General features: G+C 49.5%; 1 protein-coding gene across 1 annotated transcript in view, besides 2 other annotated features; it reads left to right on the top strand.

The window, feature by feature from the left end:
- Nucleotides 1-22,828, top strand: part of GRID1 (glutamate ionotropic receptor delta type subunit 1) — a 767,244-nt gene that overhangs the window by 156,584 nt on the left and 587,832 nt on the right. Inside the window, exon 3 of the mRNA NM_017551.3 lies at nt 3,564-3,848. Coding sequence (NP_060021.1) covers nt 3,564-3,848 — 285 coding nt within the window. The remainder of the gene's footprint in view (nt 1-3,563; nt 3,849-22,828) is intronic.
- Nucleotides 3,225-3,748: an enhancer, noted in NCBI's record as "H3K27ac-H3K4me1 hESC enhancer chr10:87966221-87966744 (GRCh37/hg19 assembly coordinates)". NCBI's record gives its function as "activates a minimal SCP1, AML or CMV promoter by ChIP-STARR-seq in primed H9 embryonic stem cells {active_cell/tissue: H9 hESC(primed)}" and the evidence as "EXISTENCE:reporter gene assay evidence [ECO:0000049][PMID:30033119]".
- Nucleotides 3,749-4,273: an enhancer, noted in NCBI's record as "H3K27ac-H3K4me1 hESC enhancer chr10:87965696-87966220 (GRCh37/hg19 assembly coordinates)". NCBI's record gives its function as "activates a minimal SCP1, AML or CMV promoter by ChIP-STARR-seq in primed H9 embryonic stem cells {active_cell/tissue: H9 hESC(primed)}" and the evidence as "EXISTENCE:reporter gene assay evidence [ECO:0000049][PMID:30033119]".

Here is a 22,828-nt window from a genome sequence, read left to right as displayed (position 1 = left end):
TGCTGCTCTCCTGAGACCCTGAAAGGTTCTAAGTCCCTTCCTTCCTTTGAGGCCCTGGTGCCAACCACAAATGAATTTACCCTCCTCTGTGTCCCAGGGAGCTTCCTTTCTCTCTCCTCCAGTTGAGTTGCAGAGTCTGTCTCCTCAGTGGATCCTAAGCTCCTCAAAGATGGGACCTGTGGTCATCCTGCTCTTCCCCCTGACAGTGCTTAGGGCAGGGGCTGGCTTGTGGGGTGTGGGCAGGGATACCAAGTGTATGTATGAGACAAGGAGGGCAGGAGCCAGTGGCATGCATGCCCAGATGGGGAAACTGAGGCTCAGAGAGGTTCTGCCACTTCAGAACCTGACATATATGGAGTGGGGACAGATGATGACCTGGGAGGGAGCCAGGCAGGTGGGGCAACAAGAGCCAAAAGTGACTGATGGCTGCAAGGAGGACTCTCCGTGGGAGTCCTGGGATGGGACAATTCCACAATTGAGCATTGGAGTTCCTGGACAATTTACGTCCCAGGGATATACAGTTTATTTTATACAATTGCTGTTTAAGATTATAAATGTATTGTATTGGCATTAAAGAGAGCATGCATAAGAAAAAATATCCACGTATTGTCATAGTGCCTTAGCTTTTAGTGTTTTCTCTTGCTGTTTTCATGGGTGTGCTTTCTGCCTAGCTGTAATCATAGTTAGCATATAATTTTGTGCCCTGGTATTTTCACGTGACCATCTCTCAGAAGCATTTTCCCCATGTCTGTGGCAGTGTTCGTTGTGTGGCCTCACATCTCATTATCTGGAAAATGGATGCAATGATACCTACTCTACACAAATGTCCTGAGAATACTGTGAATTCACATGTACAAAGGACGCCAAGAGAATTTGGCACAGAGGCAATTCTCACACAATAGTCCTTCCTCCTGTGTAGTTTTCCTGCTTATCCATTATCAGAGGATTATTTTTCTTTTTAAAAGGAATTATCTGTTTATGTCACAAAATTTTGGCTAATATAGAAAAGAATGAAAACCACTTTCAGGTTTCTTCTAAATTGCAGTCACTTTTAACATTTTGCAATATTTCCTTCTGGTTTTTCTTTCATGCATGTTGATGTTTTATTTAATTGATAAAATAAAATACATACAATTTTGTATCACTTTCACCTACCTTTTTTATGACAGGCACTTTCCCATGTTATTGTAGTATCTTCTTGACTAGTTTAAAGGCTATATATACTTTCAGAAAATGGGGCACTTTCATAACCACTCATCTATTTGCATCTTTTAGATCATTAGCAATATTCCAAGAGTATGGATAGTGTCCTCTGAATGGTTTTGGATTGAGTGCTGTTCCTACGGTTTGGACAGGTACCCAGAGAGGAATTATTGACTGGGGCCATGGAAATTCTTGCATGGTGTTCTTGCACGAGTCTTTACTGCTATTGTGAACTGGGCTTAGCCTGTGTCTGGGAAAGGATGGTGAACACAGCAGGCATGACCCTGGTCCTCCTGGAGCCTGGGGTCAAGTTGGAGAGCCAGCCAGTAACACAGGCAACATGTGGCTCATGACAGGGAAGTGCAGTGAAGGGGGATAATGCCACAAGGGTTATGAGCCAGTCTGGGGATGCTGAGTCTGAGTTTTGAAGCAAGAGTGAGCATCAGGATTGAAGAGGTGAGTTTGAGGGTCCAGGGTGGGCAGTTGGTTGGGATGTAGCAGAAAAGGGTGTGGTGAGGAGCATGAGGCTGCAGGTATGGGAGCTTGCAAGACCACCCTTTCAGGAGTGGGCTTTTACTTTATCCCTAGGCTCTTGGGGGGCACAGCAGGGCACGCAATGGATTTCTGTTTAGGAGAGAACTCAGCAGACTGGAGCTGGGGTAGGAGGGGGCCAGGGCATCTGGGGGACTGTGAGATTCACAAGATCTCATCATCTCTTGTTTAGCTACCCCCTGCCGGTGGCCTTGAAGAGGAGAGAACCGTAGGATTTGGGTTCTCTTCCTGCTGGTGCTCATGCAGGTGCAAGGCGAGCGCCCTTGCATGGAGGGCAGCCGGTCTTTGCTGCTGGAGAGTGTGGGGGGACCCTCCCCTTCCCACATGTTCCCCTGCCTCCCACTGCCTTGCTCCCTGGGGTCAGTTCCCCCTTTTCTTCTCTCTCTCTCCCAGCCTTATCTGAGGCATTACATAAACCCAAGGGCTCTTGACCAAAAGAACTGCATTGTCAAAAGTTGTTCAAAGTCTGCTGTGTGCAGCAGATGGCCTGCTGCCATTCACAGCCTGTGTTTTGAAACTGCATCTGCGGCCGGGCGCGGTGGCTCACGCCTGTAATCCCAGCACTTTGGGAGGTCGAGACGGGCGGATCACGAGGTCAGGAGATCGAGACCATCCTGGCTAACACGGTGAAACTCCGTCTCTACTAAAAATACAAAAATTAGCCGGGCATGGTGGCGCGTGCCTGTAGTCCCAGCTACAGGGGAGGCTGAGGCAGGAGAATGGCGTGAACCCGGGAGGCGGAGCTTGCAGTGAGTCGAGATCGCGCCACTGCACTCCAGCCTGGGCGACAGAGCGAAACTCCGTCTCAAAAAAAAAAAAAAAAAAAAAGAAACTGCATCTGCTTCTCCACATCCTTGCCATCGCATAAACCATTAGTAAGAGATGTTTGCTTCAAAACTGGTGCAGTGGGTTGCAGCGTTGGGAGGTGCATCTTTCTATTAATTGGTTGATGTCCCAAAAAAGTGTACGCACGTGGCTACAAGGGGCGCCTCTTGCAGTTACAGGAGAACTTGTAAAGATGAGCCCCTGAGCGTGTCAGCCCTAGAAGCGGCTGCTGGAGCGTCCGCTGTGTTCCTCCTCCACACCCGTGGTAACTGCCTGAGTGGCGGGAACGTCTTTCTTTGTTATTGTCAAGTGGCTTTTGAATAATCCTTCTGGAACAACTGCTTCATCTGGGGTTTGGCCCAGTATTTTTGTGATATGGATCACTTGGATTTGGCCAGAAGACCTAGGGTTTCTTTTCTTTTTTATTTTTTTCCTACATCTTGGGTCCTCTTGGGTAAGTACCTCTCTGACTTTCAGAAGCCATTTAGTCCCTTCAGTCCCAATCAGTTCAGTTCAGTCAACAGTTGTAGAACACACAGTATATTCTCTGCCTGTGGCTAGGCATGAGGATGCACAGATCAACACAATGACGTTTTGGCTCTTAAAGGGCTTATAGTCCTAGGTGGGAAACAGGATGGCTAATTTTACAGCTCAGTGGGGGTGAATCAGGCAGATTTGGGATGGATCTGTGCTCTACCATCCTTCCCTGACTAGCCTAGGGCAAATGGTTTTGCCCGTTTTGACTTCTATTTTCTCATGTTAAATGGGTACAAGAATGTATAGCTGGCATTTTCACCAAGGATGTCAGTGAGGCTGTGCTTATGAGAGCCACTGGCCTGCCCAGGATGGTTCTTGGTCCTGGAGGGAGGCAGCCTCTCTTGGGAGTCCTGGGCATGAGCTGCCAGGCATGGGGCCTGCAGGTTGAAGCTGGTGCAGCATCGCCCTGATGCTGACCCCTTCCTCTCTCTCTTCTCTCTTTCTAGCCTGTGACCTCATGACCCAGGGGATTTTGGCCTTGGTCACGTCCACTGGCTGTGCATCTGCCAATGCCCTGCAGTCCCTCACGGATGCCATGCACATCCCACACCTCTTTGTCCAGCGCAACCCGGGAGGGTCGCCACGCACCGCATGCCACCTGAACCCCAGCCCCGATGGTGAGGCCTACACACTGGCTTCGAGACCACCCGTCCGCCTCAATGATGTCATGCTCAGGCTGGTGACGGAGCTGCGCTGGCAGAAGTTCGTCATGTTCTACGACAGCGAGTATGGTGAGTTGTCCGGCAGGCGAGCTGGGGCTGCTTGGGGACAGGGATGGCCAGATGCTGGGAGACCTGAGAGTGGGTGGGGCCCTGGACCGGTCAGGGGTGGTCTGTGCTGAGTGGGCCTCCAGGTGATAGGGTCAAACCTCGAGCTTCATGAGTCAGGAAGAGCTGCAACAACAGCTCCATAGATAGGTATAAAGTTGCCTAGCAACAACACCTTATCATGACGGCTGAAGTTTGAATCATCTTAGAGGTTTCAATAAAATATTAATAAACTGCTGGCAGGGATCCAAAGGGCTGTATGCTGGCACAGATGGAGGCTGGAAAGCATGGTTCCTCCTGGAGGTCTCCTCTCCAAAGAGTGCCCTTCACACTGGACGATTGCCTGGCCTTCCTGGCTCCTTGCCTCCATCCATCGCAATCTGCCTTCAGTTTCAGGGTTCCAGGCTGGGGCAAAGGTCAGGGGACGGAATGCCCTGAGTGTCATGGAGCCAGGCTGGGGTTGGGGGTTGGGAACACTGGGTAGGGCTGGGCATGGCTTCTTTGAAGACCTCTCATATGAAAAAAAATCATAATTTGCTTGTTAGGAAACCACAAAAATGGGCTTTGGAGAAATGGCTTCAGGTTTTCTTATGACTGCTCTGTAAAAACAGACTAGTCTTAATCCTGAGATAGAATGGTTTCCATGTTTAGTGTTTAAACAATTTTTTTGAAAATTATGTGATAATTTAGATTTACATGCAATTATAAGGAGCAACCTAGGGAGATCCAGCGTGCCCTTCACCCAGGTTCCCCCACAGTAACATCCTGCATAGCTGTAGTACAATATTGCAACCAGGATTTGATACAGCCTGTAGGCCTTGTTCATATTTCAGTAGTGCACGTGTTCTTGCAGGTGTGGATTTACTGCTATGCATTTTAAAAATCACATGTGTAGATTCCTATGACCACCAGTCAGGATACAGAGCAGTTCCTTCACAAGGATCCCTGTGCTACCTCTTTATAGCCACAGCCACCTCCATAACATGTTAGAGGGTGTGGGAGACTGATGAGGGTTGGCAGCCCCACGGCTGGTGCCAGGATGGAATGGGTGGACCTTCAAAAGTCCCATTTTGTCTCTGGGTGATATAATTTCTTTGCCAAGAATGTAACTAAGAAAAGAAATCAGCATATGTTTGCATTTGCCTAAATACTCTTCTTCTCTAAGACTGGAATGTTGTCCTCAGCTCTTGAGCAAATATGCTGTTTGGAGTCTTCCAGGAAGAATTGAAAGAGCAAACAGTCACTGTGCTGAAATAAAGATGAGGTGGATGGGGACAAGGGCAGGACCTGAACTGGACTCAGTCCAGGACCTGGCCTCTCCCTCCCACCCTCCCACTCCTGCTCAGTCCCTGGCCCTTGGTGAGGAGTTGGAGATTTTGTAACAGCCCCGAGCTGCCTGCAGGGATCTCTTAGGGGCCAGGCCTTCCCCGAGAACCCTTGGGGCTGGTGGCTCAACCCCAAAGTCCAGCCTGCTCTGAGGCTGAACCCTGTGGAGAGGCATGGACACTGCCAGGGATGGGGGTGCTGTGGTCCAGTGTGCCCAGGCCCTTCCCATCTCACTTTCTCTGGGCACCATTGCTCTGTTTCCAATCTGGCCTGCAGACACAGTTTTCCCCTAGAGCCTGGGAGGCGACCTTGATGGGAGCCTCAGCCGCTGGGAGGGCAGGTGATCAGCTCTCTAGCCTGCCCACCCGCCTGGGCTCCTGTGACTCCTGCAGACTGAACAAGGCCTGGTGGCACTTGCCCAAGTCCTGTTTTCTTATTACCCTCCTTACCCTCACTCTTCTCAAGATGCAGGTCCTCAAAGAAAGGTGTCCCTGAGCCCCACCTGTCCTACAGAGCTGGCAGCTTGGTTACACGCTCTCGCAGACATGCTCGTCCTGCCCTCAGCCTGCTCTTGGCTTGTCCTGACTCTCATGAGGGCTAGTCCTCCATGAGTGCTGGACTGCCTGGTGATGCAGTGAAGTCCGGGAGAGTGGCTGTGTGCTTCCCACCACCATGGCCCTGCAGCCTGCATGGTGCCTGGCATAGAGTAGCCCCTCGACACATTCATGGATGGGGACATGGAGTTTTCAAGCCATTTTCACACAAAACAAAGGAGGAATGGGGAGAAGGACAAGGGTACTGGATGGTCTGACCTCTGACTATGAGGTAGCAGGGAAGGGGTGTAGGCTAGGAAACAGGTTGTATTCTACAGTCACACTCCCCCACCCCTCTTCTTTCCTCCACCCAGAATCTCCAATGTGATCAAAAGCTGTGTTCCTCTTTTCTGACATGGACACCTTTGCTACCTTTGGTGGGGTTGAAGTTAGTTTCCAACCAGACTGCTCCTTATCAGTAATTCCATAAAGTCGCCAAGTGACCAGTAGCTTTCATCTGGAGGACCACTGCAGCTGGTTGGTTGAGGCTGCTTGGGAGCTGTGCTGGGAAGGATTCTGAGGCCGTGTGTGGGCTCAGCAGCAGAAAACACCATGATCAGTCTGTGAGGCTTCCATGGTGCAAGAGAGGGATTGGCAGAGACCTGTCATGTTTGCTGGTTCAGACCTGGAGGGTGGAGGTGAGCGGAGAACCCCAGAGCTGGGGTTCTCAGTCAGAAGACAGCGTCAGAGTGGTGTGCTCATGGCGCTGTCCAGGGTGCTAGCCCTTCTGGCTCTCGGCTTGCTGGAGGCCAGAGAACTCTTTTATTGGATTCTGTGCAGGACCTCCTGCCTTTGCCTGCCCTGGTCATCGGCCTCCTGATATGACAAGCATTGAGGCTTGGTTTCTGCCTCTACACATTTTCTGTAAAATTTTAACCCGGTGCCCAGTGCTCGTCCTGGCTTTCCCCTCATGCCCAGCCCAGCTGCTGCCCATTTCCAACATGCTTGTGTCAAGTGAGCCAAGGCAGCTCAGCCTATCTGCTGTTTGATGCAGCACATCCAGCCCTCGGAGTGCAAGTGTGGCTGCTCCCTCGGCATGGCTGGCTGTGGCCTGTCCCAGTGTCACTCCTAGGTGGATACACATTGCTAATACAGCCAAGACAAACGGTGCCTCTGGAACACCTCAGGGCCCCTCCTCCCACTGACTCACTGTAGCACTAGCTGCAGATGAGCACAATTCAAAAGCAAATTAAGTGTAAAGACTATTCTGTTCTTTCCAAAGTCAAACAGAAGTGGTTTGGAAATATAGCAACTTTTTTTCAATGCTGATCTGCAAGTACCTTTATGTATTTTACTTCATTCTAGCCACCCAACATCCCTCTGAGGTCAGATTATTGCTACATTTTACAGATGAGGAAAATGAGGCTCAGAAAGGTTCTTCCTGACTTTAGTACCCATGCATTTAGCCAAGGCATCATCCTATTTCTGTAATTTGGACTTACTAGGCTCTAGCTTCCTGCTCCTGTCCCCAGCCAGTCAGAGTTGATGCCAAGAAAGAGGGAGGTAGTTTGGAAGGACATGGCATGCTCTAGGCTGATGCAGTCACTTTAGTGAGCATCATACATAGGCTCCCTCCTTTGTGGGGCAAGGCCTGATTCTTCCTCATTTGCCCATCAGCCTCCCTTTAAACCCTGGAATGTCCTGCCCCAGGTAGAGCCTGAGGACTGGGCATTTGAGCCAGGAGTTAGAAATCAGAGCAGGAAAAGCCATGGGCTCCAAGACAGAATTTGGCAGAAGGGTGAGAGAGGAGTTGGTATGTATATGGTTTACAAGATGTGCTATTTGGTAAAATTCCACTGAAAATACTTGTATGCTTGTTATGACAGTGAAAGGAAAAATAAAAGAGAAGACGACATTTGAGAGAGAAAATTTGCAACATTAAAATACCAAAAGTTTGGATCGAAAAGAATGGAGAACTTTCTGACTTGCCACTTCAAATGCTGGGATATTCATGTGTGTATGCATTGGCAGGGGCCGAGGTGGGAGGGGGGTGCTAGTAGCTGTATCCACAATTTCCCTCTAGTGAATAAATTTGGATGAAGGTTGTAATTATGATGAGCTCTTAGATATCATTGACTCCTTCATTCAAAAAATATTCACGGAATCCCTACCGCATGCCAGGTATTTTGCTAGGCACTCATTTTCAGTGAAGACACAGATGGGTGGAGTAACTTGGCTAATGTTGCATGGGCTGGCATTGGAAGTTAGGCCCCAGGGGCCCAGGGGCATCTCCAGGGCACGGCAGTCCTTTCTTGGTCTCTGGGCTAGCTCGCAGACCTGGGATGGGTTGGGAGCTGGGATTCCACAGAAACAAAACATCAGGGCTCTGTTTGAGTGGCCACTGTCTATTTGTGCTAGTTTAAAAATTATTTTTTAATTGAAAGCTACACATGGTTACGATGTATATGTTTAATTAAAAGATTAATAACCTGAAGACTCATGAACCCACAATCAGTTTGAAAAATATCAAGGAGCCCTTGTGTGCTTCACCTGACCATGTCTCCCCTACAGAGGGACTTAAACACTCTCCCGATTGTGTGCTAACAAGACCCTCGCTTTCCTTGATAGTTTTTTTTTCTTTTTATGTGTCTGAAGTTTTGCCAAGTTGTATCTAAGCATGGAAATTTTAAATTTATGCCTCATATATTTAAAACACTGTACATGTATTTCACTGTTTTAGAGGATCCCAAGCCAGTGTCTTTTTTTTTTTTTTAACTTTTATTTTAGGCTTAGTGGTACAAGTGCAAGTTTGTTACATAGGTAAACTCATGTCATGGGAGTTTGTTGTATACATTATTTCATCACCAAGACAGTAAGCCTAGTACCCATTCGTTGTTTTTCTTGATCCTCTCTCTCCTCCTACCCTCCACTCTCCACCCTCCCATAGGCCCCAGTGTGTGTTGTTGCCCTCTGTGTGTCCATGGGTTCTCATCATTTAGTTCCCACTTATAAGTGAGAACATGCTATATTTGGTTTTCTGTTCCTGTGTTAGTTGGCTCAGGATAGTGGCTTGCAGCTCCATTCCTTGATAGTTTTATCATACAAGTATGGGACCCATGGTTGGTTTGCGACTCATATATGTGGAATAACACTTCTGCATGCTTCTGAGATTGTTTTTTAATTTTCACTCAGCATTAGGTTTTTGAGATTGATCCGTTTGATGCAGGTGGATGTATTAATCATTTTTATTGCTGCACTGTGTGCCCTGATTTATTTATCTACTTTATTGTCTGTGGGCATTTGTGTTGTTTCCAGGATTTTGTTATTACCAAAAATACTGATAGGAACATTCTCATATTTGTCTTTTGGTGTTTGTGTGCAAGAGCTTTTCAGGGTCTATTCTGAGGAGCAGAATTGCTGGACTCTTGGGTCAGTGCACATTTCACTTTATTAGGTTAGACCAAACTGTTTTCCAAAGCATTCCTACCTATTCACACTACCATGTGCAATATATGAGATTTCCCCAAGTCCCCTAACCTCACCAACACTTGTCTTCTTGTTACTTTTAGGTTTCTAGTGTAAAATGTAATTTTATTTTGATTTTAATGTACATTTTCTTGATGATAGATGAGGTTGGGTATCTTTTCACATCTTTATGGGCTATTTTTATTTTCTTTTTTGTGAAACACCTGTTTGTAGTTGATTTTTTTGCCTGTTTTTAAAATCGAGCCTTTTCTTTTTAAGTGTGGCAATATCTTCTTTAAGTTAATTGTTTGTCTTAGTGAACAGAAATTCTTTATTGTATTGTTGTCAAATGTAGTCATCTTTTTTTATGGCTAGCTCTTTTGCTTGTCTTGTTTAAGAAGTCCTTTCCTACCTGAATGTCAGAAAGAAATTTTCCTGCTGAAACCTCCCTCTCTATATGGAGGGCAGATATTGTCCACCTGGCTAGGTGTCCACAGCTATGGCCTGGCCAGGCTGTGCCTGCCCTCCCCTGCCCCTCTGCGAGCCTAGCAAGCCTACCTCTCTCAGCATCTGTGGGCTGATATTCCTTCCACCCTGACACTGCTCCACTTTGCCATGCCTTTGGGCCAGTCTTTTCCTTGGTGGCAACTGAAGAAAGCTCATGCAAATTCAGTGCAGCCTATGGCAAGGTGGTTAGGAAGAGCTTCCTGGAGGAGGTGACATTTAAGCAGGTGCTTAAATAAGAGTAGTTTTTACTTTTTATTAGGCAAGCAAAGGGCACTGGGGGCTGGAGGTGACATTTAAACAGGTGCTTAAATAGGAGTAGTTTTTATTTTTTGTTAGGCAAGCAAAGGGCACTGAGGGCTGTAGGAAGAGTGTTCTAAGCAGAGGGAAGAACTTGCTTCCCTCTTTCCAGAGGAAAGGTCTGGGGGCAATGGAGAGGAGGAAAGATCATATGGCTGGAATATGGGAATTGGCTAGGGATAAGACTGGAGAGACAGTCGGAGGAGGCCTTAGATGCTCAGGATCCCCAGAAATCTCTGGGAGCCATATCTTGCTACCTCGGGTGGCACTCTTGGGTCCTGTTCTTTATACCCCATCCAGAGATTTGAAGACAGACAAAGGCAAAGCCTTCATCTCTAGAAGGCTCTGGTCCTTTCACTGCGTCCTGTCTGAAGTCATTCTCTGCAAACAAAAGGGCAGAAACTGACACATTCTCAGGAATGATGATCCGAGTTAGGACAAACCACAGTCCCAGAGTCTAAGCTAGAGGTAGGACCCGAATTTCCCAGATGACCCAGGCGTCATGCCAGCGGGTAACAGCTCCAAGTCCCTCTAGCCCTTGCTTCATGCTGGGTGCCCTGAAAGAGCGTGGAGCTGCCCTTGCTCACATCATCCCAATGGCAACCCCACATGGTGGGTTCTGTACTCAGAGAAGTAAAGGGATTTGCTCTAGGCCATATGGCTGGAGAGTTGGGGGCTGGCCAGCTCTGGTTCCCAAAGGGTCCACAGCTCTGTTCACAGCCTCTTGGCAAAGCTGTGGGGAGCAAACACCGTGGTAGAGTCTTTGCTTGATGTACAAAGATTTATTGTGGCATTTTTGATGACATCAGAAATTAGCAACAACCTAAAGGTCCATCTTCAGCAAATTGGTTAAATATATTATGATATTTACATGTAATGGAAAACTCTAGTTCCTTATGTACTGAGTAGAAGTAGTTCCAAAACATGGTGCTGTTAGCTGACAATAGAGAAGTGAGAATGGTGACGTGGGTGTTGCTTTGTGTACAAGTGAGCTTCTATGTGTGTGTATCTGAGTGGACACACATGGTCACTCCAAGGAAATGCTGTTTAAGGAAAGGAAACACAGTGGGTTGGACTGGGATGGGAGATGAATTTTTCACTGCATAACTTCTTGTACTTTTTGAGTTTTGCATCAAGTGCAAAAAATAAATGAGTAAATAAAAAAGTAAGCATGGATCGCCATTCCTCTCTGCCTCCTGCTTCCTGTGCAAGGTGACTTCTCTGAGCTTCAGCCTCTTCATCTATAGGGTAATTTCTGAGCTGTAAGGGCAAAACACTAGTAGAGTGCCTGGCACATGGTAAGTGGTCTATATGATCACAACAAACCATGCATGGGGACCAAGAGTGGTAGGAACCAACATTCTTCCCTCATGGCAGTGCGTGTGGGCACTAGGCAACCTTGGTAGAATCTTGGTGCAAGAGATTTGGCAGTTTGCTCCTCCAGTCAGGCTCAGGATAACCTTTGCGTTTAATAGTTAGGGGCATGGGCTCCAGAGCAGTCTTCTTGTTGAATCCCAGCTCCGCTGCCATATCTGTGTGACATTGGGCAAGTTACTCAACCTCTCTGTGCAACAGTTTTTTCATTTGTAAAATTGCGATACAATACTACTTTCTGCCTGATGGGGTTAACGTGTGGATTAAATGAGTCAATAGATGTCAGGGGCTTAGCTCAGTACCTGGCGCGTGGTAACTGCTCAGTAACACTTACTACTCTGGAGCTGTGCCCAGCAGTGGTCCCATTGCTGTCCATTCTTCCTTGGCTTCCCAAGGCAGACCTGGTGAATCCCAGTCCTGGCTTGTTCAGCAGCCCAGAACACAGCTGTATTTTGGTTGTGTTCTTGGTGCTTGGGGAAACAGAGAGAGCTTGGGGGTCAGCTCTTTCACCTGCAGGTTACACACCTTGCCCTATGGAGGAGCTGAGCTGCCAAGGCTTCCCCAAGGTCTCCTTGCACAGTCACAGGTGGCTCCGAAGAGCCATCATGCCTTCTAAGCTGGACAGCTTAACTGGTTTTCATAGAAAATATCTGTCGGGATCTCACCCCCAGAGTCTTCCTGAAGTAAAATTCCGTGGAAGAAAGGGAATTATCGGGGCAAATGTTACTTTAATCAATGCCCCTTGCTGACGTCTCCTTTGCGGCCCCTGGCAAAGCAGGCCAGATGACTGAACTGCCATGCTGATCTCATTAATAATACACATTGGATCATTATGGCATTAGTTTAAATTGAAGTAATACATACTTTTTCCAGACAAAATGAGTAAGTGAGTTTAATTGCTAGGAAACCTATGGAAGAAGTTTGACAATAACTTTACCTGGATGAGTGTTTTGGGTTTTGTTCTTCGATCTAATTACAAAGTAACTGTACTTTGGGGTGTGTTAATTGCAGTGTGCCCTAGAAGATTAAAGTTTATTAACTCTGAAGTTCCCTCACCCCTCCATCAGATTCCAGAGTGCGTCTGGAGACATGAGGAGATGCCTGATGCAGGCCTGCATAAAGGACTGGAAAGTGAGGCTATGCCGACTCCCACACATGCCCCGGTGTGCTGCTGGGTCCTGCTGGAGTTGAGGGAGCAAGAACTTGTCCAGATCGTCCCCCGTTTCCTCTTCTCACCACACACCATTGTGCCCTTGCAGGACCGATGCGGGCTCCTGTTGATATCCCCCTCCTGCCAGACCCACACTCCCCAGACCTCCTTTGCTCCACACATGAGAGGGAACAAGGGAGATGTTGTGTTGTTAAATACTAGAATTCCAGGAAGGGTACCAGCGAGATGTGGCTGCAGACTTCTGGAAGGACCACTAGTCCAGATGGGACCTCCCCTCCTCCTGCTCCCTGTCTGCTGCCTTCCAGCTCCGGCTCCTTGCTGCTCCATGAGCGTGCCCGGCACAACCTGCTGCAGAGGCTTTGGGCTGGCTGTTTCCTCTGCCTGGGACACTCTTCCTGCACGTGCAGACGTCTGCAAGCTGCACCTTCGGGGCTTTGCTTCAATTCCATCTGTCCCGTGGGGCCTTCCCTTTCCAATTTATTTAAAAATGGAACTCTATTTTCTCTTGGCACCTCTTTCTCCCTTTTTCCATTGAATTTATTCCCATTTACTCATCTTTTGATGTCTGTCTTTCCCCAACTAGTTCCATGCAGACAGGCAGTTTTGTTTGCTTGGTTGAGTGATACTGGACCCACAGCATTTAGAACAGCACCTAAAGCTTAGTAGGTGCTCATTAAATATTTGATGAGTGAATGAGTGAATTGATATTTTGGGGGTGTTTCATTGCCCATTTATTGGCCCAGAAGCATTTGTTTCTTTCCTTGAGTTTACCAATTACAGCAGTAATATATGCTTCCTATGGAGTCCAAGTATGTGCAAAGGCAAAGCCCCTCCCTCCTCCACTTTCAGTAGAGCACTGGCTTGTTCAGCCTGCTGTGTTTCTGTCTATACCTTCCTCCTTGTCAAGTGTGTAGACTGCCTGTGTATGCCAGGGGTCAGGACTGGAATGTAGTTTAGATGTGGCCAGCCCCTGAGAAAGTTCTTCCCATAGCTTCAAGTCAAGAATGACTACAAAACACATATGAATCACAGTGAGATGGCAATGGTGCTGCTGAGGTCTGGTGGGTGAGCCTGGCTTGTGTTGGAAGACTTAGTTCTCTTCCTGGCTTTATCTTTTTCTAACGTGCTTCTGGGCACACTGGCAACTCTTTCTGATCCTTTGTTTTCCCACTTTAGTAGTGGGGATAATAAAAACGCCTACCGTGGAGGGTTCCTGTGAGGCTGAAATGAAATGAAATGAAGTGATGGATTTGAGAGTGATTGCACTCCCTGAGGTCCCAGACCATTTCTCGTTTTTCTTACTCCTCCGCAGTACCCAGGACAATGCTGGGTACAAGGCCTGTGATTGAGCCAAGCGCTGAACAAACTGTGCTAGGAGCCCTGAAGCCTAGAGCCCCAACTCTGTCCCGGGAAGCAGTGGGTTTTGAATTACAGCTGGGAGCAAGAGGGCTTCTGCAGATGGAGGAAACCTGTGACTAAAATGCCAGGGTGTGAATGGCATGGCATATTTGAGAGGGAGGAGGGATGGAGGGTCAGCAGCTTATGGGAAAGGATGAAGGGGTCCATGGAAGGGAAGCTGTGCTAGCGGTCTCAGAGGCCAGGTTGTCGTGTCTGTCATAGGGTTTTCCTCTTCTGATGTGAGGCATGTGCTGTGACGTCGAGGCTTGTCCTCTGTGTGAACTTTCTCCTGTGTAGTAAGGATGCTCAAGAACGGAAGCCCGTTCTCTCTGGTTGCATTGCTCTGGAATGTTAAAAGGATGAAATTGCCTGTATCTTGTGTGACTAGTTCTGGACTGCAGGAAGCCTGGTGGTTTTGATCCAGGTGGCAGCTGCCTGCCCCGTATTTTCTGTGGAAGGCTCTGGGAGTGGTGACAAGGCCACTTAGAACCAAAAGGTGGGGGTCACGCCCAGACACAGCCATGTGGGTAACATTATGTCTCCTCTCAGCCCTTCACGTACCCAGTTCCTTGCTGGAAGTTATCCTCTTACCCACCTGATGGCGTGGTCGCCGCGGGGGCTTGTTTGCTGCCAACCCCCAGCCAGGGTAGGAGGCTGCACATGAACCTGGCACGCTGCCTCTGATTTTTGGTTTGATTGTTTCAGGTTGCATTGTCTGCCTGTTTGCTTATTTGTTTATTTCCTTCACACATCCAGAGAGAATTTGCAGAGGCTTCTAATGTCTTCTTAGAGAGACACTGAGGTTAAGAAAGCAACTGCATTAGAAAATCAAGAGGTGCCAAGGACGGCTGTGGTCATGCTATTCTGGCAGCCACAGGTTACAGGGTGGGAGGAAGCAGAGGGACCAGGCCCCCCTCAGCACTGCAAAGAATCCTCCCTGAGGGACCTGATCTCTACAGGAGACCATGAAGGACAGAATGGATGGCAATTCCAGCTCAACCTTTACAGCAAATGTAGAAGTGGGTTTTGCTTGGCTGTTTCTCAGTCAAGCACAGTCGCTGACTGTGCAGTGTGGCCCTCTCATGGCTCAGCTGATCCCAAGCTGGAACTTACCATTCCTGGAAGGGTAGGGATAGGACTTGCCTCTGCCTAAGCTTCCTCTGGGCCAGACTTGAAGCGGGTCATAGCAAGGGTTGTGCGTTCTGGCACTCCTTGCTGCCCACGGAGTGAGGCTTCATGTGTCCATTCAGTTTAGTTCTGTTGGACAAATGTCCACCAAAGGCCTTTGCAGTCCCAGGTGCTGGGTGGGGCTCAGGAGGAGAGCAAGGCAGGCATGGTCCCTGCCCTGACAGGAACTGCTGTAAGTGGGACAAGGGGTGTGAGGGGGGCTGTGCAGTGCTCACCATAGAGCCGTAGCAGAGCTGGGGGAGGCCTTCATAAGCATTGGTGGCCGAGTGCAGTCCTGTTGGGGTGAGGAGGGCTGAGCAGAGACCAGCCCAATGTGAGGGGTTCCAGCAGGGCAGAGGGGCTGCCTTGTGTTCTAAGGGGAGTGGGAAGATGTGGAAGGGGAGACCACCCTGCTTTGGGATTTTTGCTTTGAAATTATTTGTATCATATACATAAGTCATACACAAAATGAATATACTCTTGTTGAAAAAATTAAAACAACATACACATTTAAAACACAAAGCAAGCACCCATTAGGCACGTGTTCTCCCTCTCCCACCTATCTGCCTTCCTCTCTTGAGGTGAGTAAAGGCCTTGCCTGGACATGCCACATGTGCACACAGATACAGTGCTTTGCAGACGCAGAAGGGGAACCATGCCCCGGGCATTGTTTGGTGACATGCTTTTACTTGATGGGCTTTGCAGCTTTTGCTCCATATTGCCCACTTGGTTCTACCCCATTCTTTTTGCCTGTTGCACAACATTCTGCAGAGTGGGCTTTATTCCTCCATGTCTTGATTCAGGTGGCTTCTAGTTCTTGGCCGTCACACAGGGCTGTAGTGCGCAGCCGTGGATACATCCTCATGCATGTATCTCTAAGTACTTCTAGGGGTTGGATTGCTAGAAAGCAGAGCGGCTGGGCTGCAGGAGATTCTGTTTTCAAATTAGGAAGCTAGAATACAGTGATGAGATGCCAGTTACCAAAATAAGGCAGAGAAAGGAGAAGTGTTCTGGAGGAGAACAGACCTTGTTCTGGCCCCTGTTGTTTCCATTCTTGGGTGCCATCTTGCTGAGAAGTGTGATTGGGCAGAAAGTCAGGGACAAAATCCAAAATCAGAGAACCAGATAAAATGCAGCAAGGGCCCACTTAGGTCGGCAGCAGCTCTTGTGAGAAGCGATTTGAGGATTGAATTATCTGCAGCTTGGTGGGAGTGAGCGGTAGTGGGAGTGAGCAGTGGAAGGGAGGGAGGGAGGTGGTGAGGGCTGGGTGGTCCCTTTGGTGTATCCTGCACTGAGGGACATGCCTCTCTGGTGGAATGGAGACAAGCTGGCAGGAATTCAGAAAGGAGGGATTCTGAGGTCTCTGACAGGCCTGGAGCTGGGGGATGGGCTGATGTGAGCTGAGGGGTCCCAGGAATGGGACTAATGAGGAAATGGTGCAGAGAATAGGGTGCAGTATGTCAAGGAACTTTCCAACTGTCAGAGTTGACCTGAGCTGGAAGGGGCTGCCTCTGTCCCCCAGGGACCCACCCTGGGTACTATGGCAGGAAGGTTCTTAGCTCTGGTGTGCCCACAAGCCCCTGGATGATTGGCCATCATGAGATAGAGGTTCTCCCTAGAGACCCTGGCATGGTTTCCTCAGGCCTAGAGGCCCACCAAAGGCCACGTGGTTGAGCTTTGCTAATGGATCATAAAGAGAATAACGTGCCTTGCGTTGCTTCTCCTAAAGGAAGGGAATCAAACATTCACTGTGTAGTTACTCTGTGCCAGGCACACAACCACAGTTCCTGTATTGGTCTTTATAGTAACTCAACAAGGTAGGCATCTGCCACCAGGTCACATAAGGAGCAGGCTGGGGGGACCCCAGCTGCAGGTGGCGATTCAGATCTCAAGCCCTCACTCTCCTGACTGCACCCCAACCACCCTGAGCTACAGGTGAGTGCGTTCTGGATACCATGCCCTGGGAATGAGGAGAGAGTGGAGGGTGCAGGTAGGGTGAGCTCCTGAGGCCCCAAGTTAGGAGATGCTGAGGCTGGATGGGGCTAAGGGAACTGGGAGGCATTTTTTCATTGCCTCACCTTCTCTTCTGTCTTCCTTGCTTCCCATCCTCCCGGGCTCTCCTGAGACACACGCTCTGGCCTCTCACACATTCTGTTTGCAGAGGGACCCACACACAGTGGAGCCTTAGGCCTGGGACTCAGGCTCTGGGAGGCTGCATCCTCACTGTGGGGCCTTTAAGGATTTTGTTGCTGGAGACCCCTGTGGTTCTGTGGAATCACCACATATATCGGTGTGAACATCACCTGTTGGCCCTGGTCCTGTGTGCTGGATTCTACCTGTGCTCTGGGAAGTTCCTACTTTACTTTTGTAGTTTTTTGTTTTATTGTGGAAAAATATATATACAACACAAAATTTACCATGTTAACCATTTTCACGCACAGTTCAATGGTGTTAAGTACAGTCATATTGCAGTCACTACCGTTCATCTCCAGAAGGTTCTCATCTTCCCAAACCGAAACTCTGTACTCATTCAACAAAGACCCCCATCTCCCCCCTCCCTTCAGCCCTCAGCACCCACTGTTCTCCTTCCTGTCTCTTGACTTTGACTATTCTAGGGGCCTCATATAAGTGGACTCGTACCGTATTTGTTCCTTGAGACTGGCTTATTTCACTTAGCATAGTGCTTTCTACTTTCCTCCACACTGTGGCATGCATCAGAACGTCCTTCCTTTTTCAGGCTGAGTAATATTCCATTGTGTGGATAGACAGAATTTTATTGACCTATTCATCCATCGATGGACACTTAAGGGTTGCTTCTACCTTTGGTCCACTTGGCTTTCTGAGGGTGTTGGGAGAGGAATGTCGTCTCTTGGAGCCTCCATGTGTGTGTGTGTGCGCAGGTGTCTGTGGGTGTGTGTTGCTGCAATGGGATTGTATGTGTTTGTGTGTGGTGGGCATTTTTGTGCCACACTGTTTGGAAGACATCCATTCATCCTTCATTCTGCCACCAAAGTCACCTTCCTTAACTCACTGCCCTGCTTAGACCCCTGAATGTCTCCCCCTCTCCTTAAGGATCAAGTTCAGATCCCTTCTCGCAGTGCACAGGGCCTCCAAGGTCTGTCTCTCCCTGGCCTTTCTCTCATCACTCCCTCAAGACCTCTGTGTCCCAGCGACGCAGGATGGATCAGCAGGGGTGCCATCAGGAACACATGGCCCACTCCAGGTCATTCAGAGGAGGGGATTTAACATGAGGAACTACTGACAAGTGCTGGCAGAGTTGAGGACAGGTGGAGTGGAAGCAGCCCAGACTAACAACTGGGCAGGGCTGGAGTGACTCCCAGGGCTCGAGGGATGAATGGGAGAGATGGTCCTGGAGCCATGACTGTCCAGTGGGTACTGGGACCTCATAGAGGGGCCACCCTGAGGGAACTGGGAGCATGTGGGAGACCCAACCATGGCCAGAGACACTGGAAGCAGAGAGAGGGTGAAATACCTGGCTTCCTCCTCCTCCTGTGCCTGAGTCTCCTGACCATGCTTCTCAGTGGTCAGTGGTAATCAGCAGGATAGGGAGTCTGGGAAGGGGAGGGGTGGGCACTCTAGAGGGAAGAACAGGGGAGGGTGGGGGATGGATGTGACTGCAATCTGCACTCCCCACCACACCCAGGGACTCACCTTCCTGAATGTGTCCCAGTCACACCCCACCATCCCACATGGCTCCCCGACCTGGACCAGCCACCTCACTGCCTGAAAGCTATTCCTCCATCCTCAAGACTTATTTGAGCGTCTCCTTGTTTTGGAAGTTTCCTCTCTTCTCCTTGTTCCCCTGCCAGGTGGGCTGTCCCTTCTCTGGGTTCCACAGATGCCCTCTGTGCATCTCACCCCAGGTTACTGGGCCATAATTACTGACTTCCTTTTCTCCCTCCCTCTGGACAGTAAGCTCCTCCAGGGTGAAAAGCCTGCTTTACCTGACTTTGAGTCTGTGGCATCAAATGCATGTAACAGGCCTGAGCAGATGCTTATTGTGCGATTCAGCAACTAGGTTAGAGGTGACAGAAATAAAAAGCCCAGAGATCTGGAGCTCTCTTTCTCACACACACAATATGTGCATGTGTGTTCACACAGGCACATGCATTTGAGCACACACAGATGCACATGTGCATGCAGGTACACACTCATGCATGCATGCACGTACACACTCATGCATGCATGCACGACTATGCACACATGTGCACATAGACACATGCATGTGAACACCCACACATCTGAAGTGCCTGTAGTCATTAAAGTTAGAGGTGCAGATGAATGTGGTCTGAGGCTAGCTATGAATCTTACTAACAGTCACCAAGAAAGATCAATACATTAACTCTTTTCTTCTAAGTTGGCATGAGGTTTCACTGGAGGGCCTCGGCAGCTCAAGGTGAAGTTCTTCCTGAGGCCTTCCTTCTAGCCTGGCTTGTGCAGGGAAGGGAGAGCCAGGTGAGCTCCAGGGGCCCTGCACACCTGCAGGATGGGGATGGGCATGTCAGGGGTGCCTTTGGTTCATCTGGGACCTAACCAGGTCTTGGCTACTGCCACTGCAGTCAGAGGACCTGGCTACAGAGCCAGGCTGTAGCCATGGGGCACTGCCCAGCCCCTCCCTGACACCAGCACAGCCAGGCTTCATGGGCCCCCACACCTGTTGTGGGGCCCAGGGGCAGCAAAGGGAGGAGGTATGTGGGGTGCACTGGAGCCTGTGCACAGGGGCTCGTGTGAGCCACTGGGCCACCTCTTCCCAACTCTGTGTTTGGTCACAGCACTTCAGTGACTAGAAATCAGTCCCGGTGGGAATATTTACTTCATGGAGGCCAGTAAGTGCCACATGTCAGAGCTTCTTATTCTGGAGGGCCGGTTAGGATCACACCATGTGTCCCACTCACATAGTGTTTGTGACCTGCTTGGGGGTGGGCGACTAGATGGTGACACAGAGGATATTCAAGGTAACGGTGTGTTTTGAAGGGAAGGCAGGAGCCTGGGGCCGAGTCACGGAAGGCATGCGGTGGACTTGCACTGGGTTTTGGAAGGCAGGGAGGGCTTGGGCAGAGGGAGACAGAGGTCCCAGGAGGTAACAGCCTGAGCACAGAGAAGCACGAGGGTCAGAGAGTGGGGTGTTAGCAAGGAGGGTTAGGTGAGTTTTCAGGCAAAAGAGAAGGGCCTGGAAAGCCATGTTAGGAGTTGACCTTTGTCCTTGCAGGGCAGGGGTTCTTAGTGGGCACAAGAGCCTCCTCCCACCTCTGGCCCCGGGGACATTTGGCAGCGTCTGGGGACATTTGTGTTTCTCTGTCATAACAGGGGATAGGGAGGAGTACTAGTGGCCTCAGTGGGTAGAGGCCAGGGATGCTGATAAACATCGCACAGCACCCGCTTAAGACAGCCCCTGACAGTAAAGAACTTTCTGGCCTCAAGTGTCAATAGTAGGTAACAGGGCATAGGTAATAGGGAGCTATTGCAGGTTCATGGTCAGGGATCTATAAAGTTGTGTTTTTAGTGCAGTTTGTGGAATAGAGTGGAAATGTGTGCATGTGATGTGTGTGTGTGTGCGTGTGTGTGTGTGTGTAGAGGGTAGGGATGCTGGGGAAAAGGAGACCACAGGCAGGGGAGTAATGAGGAGGCTGTGTCAGGACTTCTGGGATGGTGATGAGGGCTTACTGGGGGTGGTAGCAGTGAGACCACAGCATAGAAGACACATGGGGCCACTTTGTAGCAGGAAGTGACGGGAGTTGGAAGCCGACTAGTTAGGCCAGGTGGAGTGGGAAGGTTGACATCAGAAGTTCCCCAAAGGTCCCATCACTAGCCTAGGAGGCCAGGGGTTCCATCATACCAAAGAACACGAGAGAGTTGAAAGGAATGACAGTGAGTCTGGTTTGAGTCCTGGATTCCAGGGTCACATAATATCTGAGCTGCAGACATGACCCCCACTTTTAGAGAAGGGGAGTAGAGCTTTGAAAGTGCCAGCAGGTGCCTGTGGGTGTTGAGATGCAGGAAACCAGAGGGAAGTGGCTTTGGATGGTGGAAAATGGGTGTTTCACAAATCTGCCTGCTTCTTCACTGGTGTGGATCAGGAGAGCCCTGGGCCTGGCGGAGTGGGGCTTCAGCCACAGATCTCCCTGTGTCAGACACTTGGTTCCCGCTGTGGCTCCTTGTGGTTAGAATTCCAGAACTGGGCTCAACTTATGCTCTGCCACTTGTCTAGTTGGACCACTCTGACCTTCTTTGCATCTTCATCTATCAAGCAGAGATAACACTGGCACCATCCCCATAGCTTAGATAGTGGATTAAATGGGATTACTGATGTGCCTAGCACATTTGGGGTTCTGTTTTGGTTATTCTTTAATAGGGGATGTTGGCAGTGGTGGGTGATGGATGATGAGAAGAATAGATATGTGTCCTGTAGCCCCAGGGCAGCCCTGCCAACCTGCTCGGGCCCCGAGAGAGAGGGAGGTGCTGTAAATGCTTGTCCCCACCCCTCCCAGCCCTCTGGCATTCTTCCTGTATGCCTTGGGCACAGAGGCTTCTCTATTCCTCAGGGAGTGGGTCTTGGCAAAGGAACCTGTTTCTAGGCTTAGACAGCGGGCTGGCAGGGGGATGGGGTAGCTTGGCAGAATGGAAGGTATGGACAGGACAGGCCTAGCAAGGGCTGCTCTCCTGGTGGGCTGCAGCTCCCATTTTCCCTCTGGCCTGGTTTGTTGGGGAATGAGCTGGTCCCTGAAGGGAGCAGAGCCTGAGCCCTTGTTGGCATGGGGATGGCATCAGCATAGCTGAACGGGCATTCTAGCCATGCAGGGACTCAGCCTTGTGCTAGGGGAAAAGTGGGGTTTAGATCTATGCAGCTTTTCTGCTTATTTTCTAGGCACCTTTGAATTAACTTATCTTTCCATCTGTGCAATGAAGAACTAGTGCCCAACTTGCTGCAGTCCATGTAGGAGCCATACACGCTCACGCCTCTATTCACTTCACCATGTGTGTCACTCATCAGTACTAACTGAGGATCTGCGCTATAAGGGGCTGCAGAGGATGGACAGGGCAGGGCAGGGCAAAGGCCTGGAGTCCTCCTGGAGTCTTCACCCAGCCCTTCCATCACCCACCAATGGGCTTTTGGTGGGTCTCTTCCTTCAAGACTTATTTCCCTTCCATCAATTAGGACAGGGCTGGGGGTGGTCCCTGTGACTCTGACATCTCTAGTTGTGTGTCTTATGTAGCAACTGTGAAGTTAAAGCTCCTTAGGAGATGGGTGGTGGGAACTTCTCCTTGAATTATTCCTCCCATGTAGCTGCCTTATGGAAATGAGCCGATAATGGCCAATTCCATGTGCAAATCAGCTCTGGGCTCAGCTCAGCCTGAGCAGGCGTGATGCCTCTTGCACTATAAATACCTCCCCTGGAACTAGCGCAGCCCCAAGAGTAGCCCCAGTGCTTCTCAGCTTGCACAGATGCCAAGAACATTACCTGTTCTTCCTGGGGCTCCCCAGCCTCTGGCTGCTCCTGGGAATCTCACATTTCCTGGTCTCGTTCAGTGCTGGGTCCCTTAGGGATATTCGTTAATTCTCATAAAACCCTGGGAGGATAGTGTAATTAGCAGCACTGGATGATGATTTAGCACTCAGACTCTGGTGCAGACTGTCTGAGTTCAAATCCTGCCTCCAGCCTTTCTAGGTAGCATGAACTTGGGTG

This window comes from Homo sapiens, chromosome 10 (genome assembly GCF_000001405.40).
Source record: "Homo sapiens chromosome 10, GRCh38.p14 Primary Assembly".
Classification (NCBI taxonomy): Eukaryota; Metazoa; Chordata; class Mammalia; order Primates; family Hominidae; genus Homo; species Homo sapiens.
This window is presented reverse-complemented; position numbering and strand designations above follow the sequence as displayed.